Source organism: Homo sapiens, chromosome 9 (genome assembly GCF_000001405.40).
Source record: "Homo sapiens chromosome 9, GRCh38.p14 Primary Assembly".
Taxonomy (NCBI): Eukaryota; Metazoa; Chordata; class Mammalia; order Primates; family Hominidae; genus Homo; species Homo sapiens.
This window is the reverse complement of record NC_000009.12, coordinates 126,224,483-126,237,958: the sequence shown is the minus strand read 5'-3', so window position 1 is coordinate 126,237,958 and position 13,476 is coordinate 126,224,483. Positions and strand designations below refer to the sequence as shown.

At 52.1% G+C, this 13,476-nt stretch overlaps 1 long non-coding RNA gene across 1 annotated transcript, besides 1 other annotated feature; it reads left to right on the top strand.

The window, feature by feature from the left end:
* Positions 1–2,107: 2,107 nt before the first annotated feature.
* Positions 2,108–11,870, top strand: LOC105376275 (uncharacterized). The gene is made up of 3 exons (XR_930357.1): positions 2,108–2,242; positions 11,020–11,194; positions 11,726–11,870. It is a non-coding gene; the product is annotated as an uncharacterized LOC105376275 (long non-coding RNA).
* Positions 8,799–8,878: a silencer, noted in NCBI's record as "silent region_20285". NCBI's record gives its function as "represses an Ori minimal core promoter by ATAC-STARR-seq in GM12878 lymphoblastoid cells {active_cell/tissue: GM12878}" and the evidence as "EXISTENCE:reporter gene assay evidence [ECO:0000049][PMID:35858748]".
* Positions 11,871–13,476: the final 1,606 nt, after the last annotated feature.

Below are 13,476 nucleotides of genomic sequence, written 5' to 3'. Positions count from 1 at the left end.
CTGCCTTTGTCTTCACATGGTCTTTTCCCCATGTGTCTCTGTCTCTGTGTCTCTTCTCTTCACAAGGACACCAGTTATATTAGATTAAGCCCCCACCCTATTCCAGTGTGGTCTTATCTCAGCTAACTGTATCTGCAACAACCGTATTTCCAAATAATATTTGTCACATTCTGAAACTCTGAAGGTTAGAAATTCAACATTTTGGGGAGATTTTCAGGGGCATAATTAAACCTATACACAAACTCTTTCATGCCCTTCGAGGATTTTTCCAATGCCGTCTTTTCAAAGAGGCCTGCCCTTACCACCCTGTAGAAAAATGTGACCCACCCCCAGTCTCCAGCTCTCTTGATCCCCACACCCAGCTCTGGCTTTCCCTTTTTCCATAGTAGTATTCACCTTATAACTTGCCATCTAATTTAACTTCTTCTTTAGTTTATTATTTATTGTCTATCTCCATCTGTTGGAAGTCAAGTTCCATGAGGACATGGCCTTTGCGTTGGTCACTGATGTATCCCACATGCCTAGAAAAAGACTGGCCCAGAAGGTGTTCAGTAAGGTGCCGAGTGAAGACTTGGATGCATGGTGCACATATATGTACTGCTCACATACATCACTTGCTCATGTACGCACCCCCAAATGCATGCACATGCACACATTGCACAGATTTTCAGCCCTATTATCTATTGCTACATAGCAAGCCACCCCAGTCTTGGTGCCACGAAGCAACACCCTTCTACTATGCTCATGGATTCTGTGAGGCGAGAATTCAGGCAGGATGCAGTGGGAATGGCCTGTCCCTGCTGCAACACATCTGGATCCTCCATGGGGAAGAATGGAATGGCTGGAGGTGTCTTCACTCACATGTCTGGTGCTTGGGCTGGGATGTCTTGAATGGCTGGGTACTCATCCGGCATCTCTTTCTCTCTCTGTCTCTCTCCTTGAGATCTCAGGGCCTCTCCATGTGGCCTCTTTTGCGTGGTAGCCTCGGAGTAGCTGGGATTCTTAAATGGCAACTCAGGACTCCAAGAGTAAGTGTTCCCACGAACAAAGCGAAGGCTGCGTGGCCTTTTTTGACCTCACTGAGATTTGGTCAAAGCAGTCACAAGTCTACCCCGATTCAAGGAGGGGAGGACATAGATCCCACCTCTTGATGGGAAGGATGTGAAATAATTTGCAGCCGTATTTTAAAATGGCCACACATGTGCAAACAAGAACGCTTATAAGTACACACACACACACACACACACACTTAGACTTTTTCCTCAGAACCTCTATTCTGAGACCAGACATATATAAACATATATATGCACAGGAACACATGTGCAATACAGACACATTCACACAAGTATGCGCATAGTGACAGCTGTGCATACACACACAAATGTGCACACATGCTTACACACACGTATACACAGACTCAGGTCCTGCCGGGATGCCCACTCCAGGGCCTGCAGCCACACCTGCTCGCTCCTAACACTAGGCCCCGGGCCTGGCTGAGCTGGGGGCTGGGCTGGGCTGGTGTGGTTGCCCAGTATGGGGTGGGCCTTCTCTCCGCACTACCTCTTCTTCATGGCAGGGGCCTGGCAAGAAGGAAAACAAATAACCTTGCGGTGTTTAAATAAGCAAAGTTTTGTGCAAAGCAGAGGTTAATGTACTTTATTGTTCAATGTCATGTTTATAGTGGATTGGTGGAGGGAAAAATGTGATTAATTGCCCCGAAGCCCACGGATCTACAATTATTTGGTTGTTGTGAACAAATAAAGGACTACAGTATTCATCATATTCAAATGAGGCAGCAGAATAAATGATGGCGGGCCGGGTAGGAACAAAACCGAGGCGTGTTCCCGCACAATCCGAAGGCGACTGGCGCCTTGTCAACCAGACGCAGGGTGGTGGCGGGAGCCGAACCCGTTTGTCTCTGTACCGCCAGCGAGGGCTGGGCTGACCCTGCAGGTGCCGGCGTTAATTCATGTCACACCTTGCGCCTCCATCCTGCGTGGTATGAAAACTAGGCGCCAATTTCGTAATAAAGACTTGTTTCCGACGAGGCCCGGTTTGGGGCGGGGGCACAGATCTTCATTAGGGCCCCTTTCCCGGGCCACGCTCGTTACAGAGCACAGGTACTGGCTAAATGTGTCCGATCATTCATCATGATTTCGCCCTCCACTTTGTCACAGCGTGAGGATTTAAGGAAGATAGATGGTACAAGATGTTGTCTCCTCCGCAGACGCTTTCTGCTCTGGTAAGTGTGTCCGATGCAGAATTATTTTGCCACTTTATTATTTCCTAGTGAGTGTTTGTCAGAGCTTCGCCTCTTGGAAGGAGCGAGTTGTTTCCTGTCACTCAGGGATGTCGCGGGAGCGGTGATGCTTGGCTGGGCTCGCCAGCCAGCTGGAACCCGGGCTGGGTCCCCAGGCAGGGCTGTGGGGGGTCCTGGGCGTCTGAGCCACAGGGCGAATGTCAAATCCAACAGAAATCAGGGGAGGCAGGCTTTGGGGGAAGGCGGGGCACGGGGGCTCTGAACACGCTGGTTTGAGGGGGTTGGGGGGGGAACGTTGCAGGACCTGGCCTGGCTGTAGGCCAGGCTGCAGGACGGGGAGCTGTTTGAATCAGTGTCCAAAGGGCTATGAGAGCTTGGCCTTGAGCTGAGCCAGCTGGAGAGGGCATGGGCAAGGCTGGGGTCCTGCGGGGCTGCTGATGGCCTTAGGGCAGTGTGGCCAATTCTGGTGCCTATTGCTGGCACCAGACGAGCTTCCTGCCCTGACCAGGGCAGGCAAGGGGCTGAGCGGTGACCAGCAGGGATCCTAGTTGGGTGAAGATGACATGAGGCAGAAGACGGGGGGTGAGTTCAGCTTGAGCCCAAAGCCCAGCCCGTAGCCCCAGGTTTAGGTCCGGGAACCCTTGGGACTATTTGGAATTCCTTCCAGGTCATGCTGGGACACAGGGGTGTGGGCCCTGGAATCTGAAGGTGAATCTGGCCCCGAGAGAAGGCAGGAACATGGGAGCCACCAGCCTGTCCTGTGATCCTGTCTCACTGGTGTTCATTCACAAGGATCTCTGAACTGGCCCCATCCTCCAGGGTACCAGTGACCCCCACTGTCTCTGCCCCTCAAGCGCAGAAGAGAGAAATCTACTCTTTCTTGGCTTTCTGTCAGCCTAGGTTGATCTGAATGGTGAACCCAGAAGGAATGCCCCTCAGAGGAAACTTAGAGGCCCAACCCAGGGGAAGCCCAAGCCAGGGTGCTTGAGGCACAGAACCTGGGGTGCAAGGACCTGGAGACCACAGCTGGCCGTTCTCTGATCCCAAGATGCTGCTGCCGGGGACGGCCCACCCTGCGCCTTATCCACGTCTCCCTCCTTCCCCTCCTCGAAGTCTCCGTGGAGTAATACAGGACAAAGCTCACAATTTTCCCATCTGTAAAATGGGGAGGAGAACATGACTTCCTCCTGGCATGTTGTAGGTGTTCTGTCCACCCAGGTGTCCCCTCCCTGCCTCCTCTCTCTCTGGTTCCTAGCCGCTGGAAGTCCCTCATTTGCCTTTGACCCGTTTCCCATGGGCCTGGCTGGCTCTGCTGCGGCGTTTCTGTGGCCCCGGGCTTCCCGGCTGGCATCCAGACAGGGTCTGCCGATGGGGCAGGCTGCATGAGATAGTGGAGGCCTGGCTGCCCCTCCATGCTCTGCGTCCCTTTGTGAACAGCCCCCTAGGGAAGTGCACCCGTTCTTGAAGCTAACACCCTAGACCTTGCCAAGTCCTCCTCCTGCCAGCCCTGGGATGAGCCCTGGGACACAGTCTCTACCCGTCAGGAGCTCCCAGTCCGGTGGCGGGGAAGAAAAGTGAGAGGACCATTACTCCAGCACACGCCACTGCGGGGCCATGGCCCTGGCCAGGAGTCCCCAGTAGCCCCCAATTCCAGCCCGACCGAAGCTGGTGCTTTTCACCCAGTGCCTCCCAGGTCCGCATTGCTACCAGGGGAGGGCTGTGCCGCTCTCACCTCCACGGTGCAGCTGAGAAAACTGCAGAGAAGGCTTGCGCTCGAGACATCTCTGTGAATGGGTCGCAGAGCAGGGATTCAAACACGCGCGAAATCTCGCCTTTGCGGACGCGGCGGAAGAGCTGATTGCCTCATTGGTGGAACATCCGCGATGAACACCCTTATATCCAATCAGGGCTCAGCCCCATCCCGGCTCTGGTCTTTCTCCTGGGACAGCTTCAAGAGGCCTCTTAAACTCCTGCCTCCACCCACCCACCCCCCCACATTCTGGCCATGCTTCTAGTCACCACCCAGTTAGTCCCCCCAGATCTGTGATTCCGTGAAGTTGCATGGTTAAGGTATATTTGGCTTTTTTTCTCCCTTAGTTTATCAGTTTTCTTTTACGGCCTGTCTCCCACTCATTAATTCATTCACTCACCATTTGCTCATTCGGCAAACACTAAGGACCTGTTATGTGCTGGCTTTGTGCAGTGAGATCAAACCCAGCAGGGCCCTCGCCAGACTCCCTGAAGAAGGAGGGCCCACAGGTATCTTATGAGACGGTGGATCTTGGGAAGCCAAGGGAGCGGGGACCTCAGCTGGTCCGCAGAGGAGTGGGGTCGGTGCTACTCATCACCCAGAGGCCCTCCTGCCTAGAAGCAGCAGCGGGGCCCTTCCCTCCAGCCCCCAAGCACTGCCCTGGATTGGTCCACATCCCCTCCCTAGCACTGTGGCCCCGGCCTCCTCTTGCCTCCAGATTATCCTTCTTCCTTTTTCTATCCTGCAGCCAGAACGATTTTCCTTGAACACAGACCTAATGATTTCATTCTCTGCTTCCAAAAGCTCACTGGCTCTCTATTGTGCACCGACTTTAAACCTCAACCTTGGATTTGGCATTCAAGGCCTTTCATGATCCAGCACCAACCCACCCAATGCCACCACTTACAAGCTGCATGATCTTAGCCTGTCCCTTAAATTCTCTCTCCACCTGCATTTCCTCACCTGTAACATGGGGATAATTACAGTACCTATCATGATGGAGTGCATTTTCCAAAGATGTCAGCTACAATATATATCCCATCCCACAAGGTCTTCTTACAAGAGCATTGCCACTCTTCCCAGGGGATAGTGGAGACAGTGGTCCCTTGCCCTGAACTTGGGAGGACTTTTGTCACTGCCTTGATAGATGTAGCACCAGTGACACTACAAGACTCCCAAGGTTCGGTCTTAAGAATGCCACGTACTTCATCGGGTTCTCTTGGGATGCCCACTGTTGGATTCCAGTGGCCATGCTGTGAGGAGGCCGAGCAGCCACATGGAGAGGCCACAATAAGTGTCTGGCTCACAGCACCAGCTTGTCATGTGAGTCACATGCATGAGCCATCCTGAATGTCGTCTGCCCAGCAATGCAGAGTGTAGATAAGCTGACCTTGCCAAGCTCCAGAGCAAAGCAAATTATTATTGATATCTTGAGCTACAAAGTGTTGGGGCAGCTTGTTACGCAGCAAGAGATAACTGAAACAACCACCCCCACGGGGTTGTTGTGGGGTAAGGAAGTATATTAGTTTGCTAGGGCTGTCATCACGAAGAGCAACAGATTGGGGGTCTTAAACAACAGAAATGTATTTTCTCACTCTTCTGAAGGCTAGAAGGCTGAGGTCAAGGTGCCAGCAGGGGTTGGTTCCTTCTGAGGTCTCTCTTCCTGGCTTGTGGATGGCCGTCTTCTCCTCCTTGTGCTTTTGCCTGTTCTTCTGTCTGTTGATGTGTGTGTCCTAATCTCCTCTTCTTATAAAGTCTCCACTTATACTGGATTAGGGTCCACCCTAGTGATTTCATTTCAACCTTATCACCTCTTTAAAGACCTTATCTCCAGATGCGATCACACTCTAAGACACTGGGGGTTAGGACATCAACATATGCATCTTGCGGGGATACAAGGCAGTCTGTTACGATAAGGAAATGCGTATGAAATGCTTAGAGCAGTACCCAGCACAGAGTAAGCACTCAATAAATGTCAGCTAGGGTTGTTATTCTAACTACCACCACTGCCATCTGCCTGGCCTCGGTCACACTATTTCCCTCCAGACCCTAAGGGAATGCTCTGGATCCCCAGGCCTCCTTTTAGACTGTCTCCTCGGCTTGCAGGGTCTAAACCTGTTCCCCATCTACCCAGATCCCTCCTGTGTTAGGAAGCCCAGCTCCTTTACAACCAGGCTGCCAAGTCCCCTTGGTTCCCGTCCCCTGCTTCTGGGGCTCTGTTTAGCGAGTATTCTGGCCTGCTGTGTATGAGAAGCTTGGACTTTTTTTGACCTGAGACTTTGTTTTGTTTTTCAATATGGAAATGGGGGATTTTTTTCTAATTATAAAAATAATTCGTGTTCAGTTTATAAAACCCAGACAGTACAGAAGGTTGATGAAGAAAGTGGAAATCACCTAGATTTAATGACTTTTAGCATTTTGGTTGCTGTCTTTCTGGAATTTGTCCTATGTGTGTACGTATATATATGTTTTTCTTGATTCTGGGACAACACTGACTGGGGGATGCATCACTGATTTAATTACACGGCTCTTTTGGAGAAAAGAACTATGCATTAAACATATCCATTAATTGCAATGCACATCCTGATTTTAGAAATGTTCAAATGTTAAAAAATGTGCATCTTAGAATAAAGAAAATATATGCATGTATTATCTATGTTTTTCAAAATGGAAATCTCTATGAATACTGTTATATGACCTATTTTTTTAAAAATCTGAATAACAAAGTGTAGCCATCTTTCCACATCAATAAAGGAACGCTCTTGCCACCAGTTTTAATAGATACATAATGTTCCACTGGACTGATATATCATAATGCATTTATTCCTCACTGAAGGGCATGAAATCTTTATTATTAGTCTGATGCAAACACCTTTATAGACCCTCGTCCTTGTTTTTCTTGGATAAATTCCTTAAATCAGCACTTCCGGCCAGGAGAGTGGAAGTTCTTTGCCCAGAGTTGACTGTCACCAGCTCACATGCTCCCCAAGGATAGGACCTGCCGCTGAACCACCTGTGGATGCACCCGCGCGGGCCCTGTCACTGAGCCGGGTACAAAATAAGGCTCTGGGAATGATTGACATGTATCGATTTTTTAGTAATAACAAGTCAGGAGACGGATCCTGCATGAATAGTCTGCCGGGAACTGAGATGTGTGATTAACTCAAGTTTCTGAACCTCGGATCAAAAAATTAAAAAGCACAGTTTTGGGAGTCAGGGTGGTCTCAAATCCCAGCACTGCTACTCAGTGTGTGATGTACTGTCCCGAGCCTCAGTTTCCCCATCTCTACAAGATCATGAACGTCCTTGGCAGGCCTGTGTGGCTGGGTGTCTGCCTCAGCTCCTTGCAGTATCTAGGAGGAGAGAAAACCTTGGCAAGGTCCTCCCAGGCACCAATTCCCTAAGAGTGCTTATGCCTGGGGAGACCTTGAGTGTAAATTGAGGAGCATGGGGGCACCTGAGGGCTCCAGGGCCTCTGAGAACAAAAGCGAGAACATCTGTGCCTCCACGAGCTCTGGGCGCCATCTGTGAGCTTGGCCCCGAGTGGCACAGACCACTGGAAGCCCACAGCGAGGGCAGGGGGACAGGTCCTCTGTGCTTTCTAATAATAAGATGATAAGATGAGGAATCACAGCTGCCATTTGCTGAGTACTCCTTATGTGCCAGGCACCTACCAAGTGCTTTATATTCATTTTCTTACTTCATCCTCATTGCAAGGTAGAAATTACAGCCCACTTTACAGAGGACAAAACCTGGACTCAGAGAGCAGCTGGACCAAGATCTTGGCTCTGTGCACTTCTCCCCACTGCCATCTCTCACCTGGATGTGGGTAACAGCTTGTACTCCCCACCCCATCACTCAGTCCTTCTCCACTCTGCAGCCAGAGTGGGCTTTTGAAATCACCAAGCTGAGTATGACATTCCCATGCTTACACTCTTCTTCAGCGAGCCTCTCCCTGGTGCTGTTGGGAGGAAAAAAGTCCCAAGTACTAAATAATCCCAAGCCCTAAACTTTGGATCCTGCCTGGAGCTCCTGGTTCTCCAATCCTTCTGGCTTTACTCACGCCCCTCACCTTTGGTGCTGGGTTCTAAGCACACTGGCTTTCTCTCAGTTTCCACAATATGCTAGTTCTCTCCTGCCTCAGGGCCTTTGCACAGCTCTTCCCACCCTGTGAGCAACTTCATCACTACTCACCCTTTCAAGTTCAGCTTAGAGTCAAGTTCCTCTCAAGGAAGCCTTCCCTGCCATTCCAACCCCAGGTTAAGCCCCACTGCCCTGTTCTGTAACCGTATGACACTTGCCATCATTAGGGTGAATCAAAGGATCTTGCGTGAATACTCTGCCAGTGGTTGACCATTTTAGACCTACACCAATGTCAGTTTTCTATGGTGTAACCTGATAAATATTTGTTGTGTTATCTCTTCAGTGTTGGGCCCCCTGACATTTAGGAGAGGCAACTGTCTGTTGCTCACCATAATTTCAACCTAGCATCATACACCGACACAGATTACAGCCTCGATACTGTGATGGGTGAACTAATGATTACATTGCAGGTCAGGATTAAACCCCAGTCTCTCTGGGAGAGTTTAAACAACTTCGCACCAAGTCTACACTAACATGGGGGCCGCCTGCCTACCACGTGTCACCAGCCATGGGTTGCAAAGACAGGCCATGGTGCCAGCCCTGCTGGATGGACAGCAATGGCACACAGTAGCAGGCTCCAGCTGTCACACAGTCTGACCCAGTTCTCCAGGACTGTGTTCGGTTTCACTGGGAAGTGGCCAAATGGCAGTCCGGCTCAACTAGATGGAGGGACCCAAGATTTGGGGCCAGACCTCCTCCCCACCGGCCGGGTGTTCCAGCCTCATGGCCTGTGCACTGTGCACCTGAGGCCACATGGTGGCAGTGTTGGAACCGACTGGGCTCTGGAGGAGTTGAACGAAGCCTCAGCCTCACTCCGCAAGATGCCCTTAGAGGCCGCGTCGCTGCATGTGCACACTGTGTGCACAAAAGGGTGTGCGCGCAGGATGGGCTGCAAGTGTGCATTGTGTCAGCGTGTGTAGGTGCCTGTGTGTTTGTGTGTGTGGGGGATATCTGGGGTGTATGTGTGCATAGGCCTAAACATGCACTTGTATTTCTGCGTGTGGGTGTGTGTGGGTGCCCTCACGCATCTGTGTTTATCAGTGACTCTATGCAGGTGTCCATGTGTGTGTGTATGTAACTGTCTGCTTTGTAAGAATGCCTTCGGTGCAAAAGTGTTTTCATGCCGCTGGTTTGTGCATGTGAGGTGTGTTTCTGTGTGTGTGTGTGTCCGTCCATTGAACCTCTGGTGCAGTGAAGGGAGAGTCAGTGGTTGAGCGCGTGTGTATATCTGGGTATCAGGATACACTGAGGGCTTGGCCTCCCTCCGCTGGCCTTGCCTCTCCCACCATCATGTGTATGGACAGCTGTTCTGATTCGCTCCCCAGCCCCCAGCCTCGGGCTCCAGCAGGTGTAGATCCCCTTAAGGTGTCCTGCTCCTCCTCCTGTCCTTCCTGCCATGCCTCCACCCCACCAAGCACCAGCTCCTGCAGGTTCAGATCTTTACCCAGATGTACCTGCAGGGCTCCAAGTGTGTGTTGCAGGGCCGGGGGGCAGGGCTGGAAAATCACCTCTTGACCCCCGTGCCGTGGTGGAACCAAAGCCCCACTCTAGCACCTGCCTCTGGTAGTCTTTCGTCTGCCCGCAGGATGAAGCTCTCCTCTCTGGGGAAGGTGCACCCTTATGGCTAGGGGCCCCGGTGGGTCCTAAAAGGGCAGACTTCACTGCTTGGCCAGGTCTCCTGTCCTCAGACTAGAGGACCCTAAAGATGGGGCTCTGTGTCTCCCTCTGCCCTCAGGGTGGAACCATGGCTCAGATTTTATCGCCCAGTCCTAGAGAGAATGTGGGGACCCTGTCCTTCTCCAGGCCCTGCCTCTTGCCCTGTGCTGGCATCTTGCAGCATGGGGTCCAGCACCCTCCCAGCCCGCCCCTCCCCCTGCCAGGCAAGAACCTGGAGTGCCATGTCTGGCCATGTCTGGCCACCCTTCACCCCGTGATTATTAATAATTGGGTATTAGGTGAGAGGCGACTATTGATTCCAGCGCGGGCAGCTCCAGGTCGGGGTAATTTATGGAAACACTGGCGTCCCTGGTGATAAATAATGAGGTGATCACAGAGATGGGTCACTAGTGAGTGGCCTCCATCGGCTGCCCTGTCCACTAACACACAGGCTCGTAAATGGAGGGAGAGATGGAGAGAGACCAGGCCGGCTTGTAAAGACAAAGGACGCGTTGATGATGAGAGGCGCCAGGGATACGGGGAAAGCAGAAGCACGAGTCAGCGGGGTCCACGCGGTGGGGGCTGGTGGGAAAGGGACAGGAAGACACAGAGAGGACAGAAGGACAGACAAGGACACAGAGCAAAAGACAGGGCAGGGGAGGGAGAAGAACAGGGAGGCAGACATAGAGTGACACACAGGGGCAGGGAGAGCTAGACAAAGCCAGAGAGGATGAGCAGCAGGGAGCGGCAGAGCTGGGCAGGGCAGGGACAGTGGTGGGCACACTCAGGGGCAGAGACAAAGGGAGACGGGCCTCGGGAGTGCCGAGTGCCTACTAAGTGCCGGCTCTGCTCTGTGTTCTCATAGCATTGGCTCATGTTATCGTCCTGACAGCCTCGAGGCAGTGATTCAGAGTATGGACTCCGGAGCCAGACTGCCTGGGTTCAAATCCCAGCTCTTCCCCTGGCCCTGGCTGCATTGCCTTAGGCAGGTCACTTCTCCTCCTGGTCTCCAGCTGCCCTCATCTGGAACATGGCGCCAACACGATACCTATGCCAATCATGGTTGTGAGGGTTAAACAGGTCCATGTCTGTGTACTTGGGGATCAGTGCCTGGTACTAGTGGGTGCTATACAAGTGTGTGCTATTGTTTTCCCTGGTTCTAGTCAATTTCCTGCAATTGCATTTGATTTGACTCTCTTCTGTTCCATAGGGTGTCTAGTTTACAACGCATGAGCCAGAGAAAATGAGATGAGGGACGACGGGTGGCTTTGGGGAGACACCCTGCAAGAGGAAAGGTTTGACTTGAGTGTGGAGGTGGAATTCGAGGAAACGGCATATTCCAGATGGTGGGAACAGCTTATGCAACAGCATCACAGAATTTCCAGGTTGCAAGGACCCTCGAAGGCCCAGTGTGTCCAGCAATGCCTGGATTCCCTCTGTAATTTCTCCCCGCAGGGTTCACCCAGTTGGCCATCTCCAGGGATGGGAAACTCACTCATCCTTGCAGAACTCTAACTCCGAGAAGGTCCTTCCTCAGAATCAGCCTTTATGTGCTACCCCCCAGCTCCCTCTACTCCCCCCTCCAATCAGCCCTGCAGAGGTGGGCAGTCAGCAACAGGGAGCTCTTCGCAGCCCCCTCCTGCCCCCAGCATCAGGTGCAGCCCCTCTCGGCTGCTCCCGATGCTTCTCCTTGGTCAGCCAGCCTGGCCCCTCCAGCTTCAGGCAGCTCCTCGGCTGGCTGCTCTCCTGGGCTGCTCTCACAGAGGCAAAACCAGCCACCTGGGCTGTTCACTTCACCCTAGACCCAGTGCTCAAACTCTGCTGCCCAGAGCCCCGGGGTTCTTGGAGAGTGCTGGGGGCTGCCCCAGGGCTGAGGGGGTGACTCCTCTCCCTTCCAACTCTGTGATCTGTTCCAGGTAGAAAAAAACCATGAACCCTGCTAGTCTGTAGGCTGTGGAGGCTGCTGCCCAGATGGGAGGCAGCCTAGAACAGCGGCACATCCTGGGTTGGTGCTCTGGCCCTGCTGCTCATCGACCAGGTGACCATGCACAGGTGCTGCAACCTGCGGGAGCCCCACTTTCGTCCTGTGTCACAGAGCCTGCAAGGAAAGTGCTTAGCAGCAGAGGAAAAGCCCCTTTAGTGGCCCCTCCCTCTCCCCCCACCATGGCCCCTTTTCCCACACACCCTGGGTAGCCTGAGACTCTCTCCTTTCCGTGTCTAGGACTCAAATATGAGAGCCCCTATGGGTCCTGGACACATTGCCTTGACACGACCGGGCTCCTCTCTCCTTGCCTGGGCTCTGGACCCAGCGGAGCTCTCTTGCTCACACTCTGTGGGACCTGCGAAGGTGCCACCTCTACCTTCGTGCACAAGGAAGTGAAATACAGCTGAACAGGATGGAGCCTGGGGCACTCCGTGGAGATCCCACCCCCACCCACCCGTGGACATTGGCTGTAGTCGTGGGGTTATTTGCTTGTGTCTTTGTCCATCCCACATTTCCCCATCTTGCCTGAGCATGTCCTGGGGATCTCACCATGCACTTCACAGGACCCTAGATCCCATCTTACAGCCTCACTTCTCTGACCTGTTGGGCTGGTCACCCTGTGGACAAGGACATGGACCAATCTGATGTGGTCTTTTCTTTTCTTGTTTTTTTGTTTTTTTGTTTTTTTGTTTTTTTTGAGACAGAGTCTTGCTCTGTTGCCCAGGCTAGAGTGCAGTGGCATGATCTTGGCTCACTGCAACATCCACCTCCCGGGTTCAAGTGATTTTCCTGTCTCAGTCTCCCCAATAGCTGGGATTACAGGCAACTGCCACCACGCCCGGCTAATTTTTGTATTTTTAGCAGAGACGGGGTTTTGCCATGTTGGCCAGGCCGGTCTCGAACTCCTGACCTCAAGTCATCCTCCCACCTCGGCCTCCCAAAGTTCTGGGATTACAGGCATGAGCCTGATGTGGCCTTTTCCTAGCAACCCCATTGCTCTCCTGGATTTACCACTTCTTCTTTTTAGATGCTCTTAGAACATCCCTTTATAGTCCATTCTAGATTTTTTTTAGACAAGGTCTTGCTCTGTCACCCAGGCTGGAGTGCAGTGATACAATCTGGGCTCACTGCAGCCTCAACCTTCTGAGCTTAAGCAATCCTCCCATTTCAGCCTTCCAAGTAGCTGGGACTACGGGCATGCACCACCATGCTTGGCTAATTTTTCATTTTTTTTTTGTAGACAAGAAGTCTCGCTATATTGTCCAGGCTCATCTCAAACTACTGGGCTCAAGTGATCCTCCCACCTTGGCCTCCCAAAATGTCGGGATTACAGGCATGAACCACTGCACCTGGCCTCATTCTGGAGTCTTAACTGAGCTAGTGAAACTCATACAATACTATTATTACTGAGCAGGGCAGTTAACTCGTTTTTGCCGTTGTTGTTTTCCCACCTTATGGGTCTCCAAGGACACAGTAGAGGATGGGTGGCTGAGCCAGTGTATGTGTGAGGGTGGGGAAGGAGGTGGAGGGAATTATGTGCGGAATAAGGAGTGGATACTAGCTGTTGGCAGAAAAGCGTTGAACACCAGGTTAACGAGCCTGGGTTTATTTTGTGAGTAGTGGAGACCCACAGAAGCCTTCTGAGGTTATGCTTGAGCAGCTGGAGGATTACCCTGATGGTGG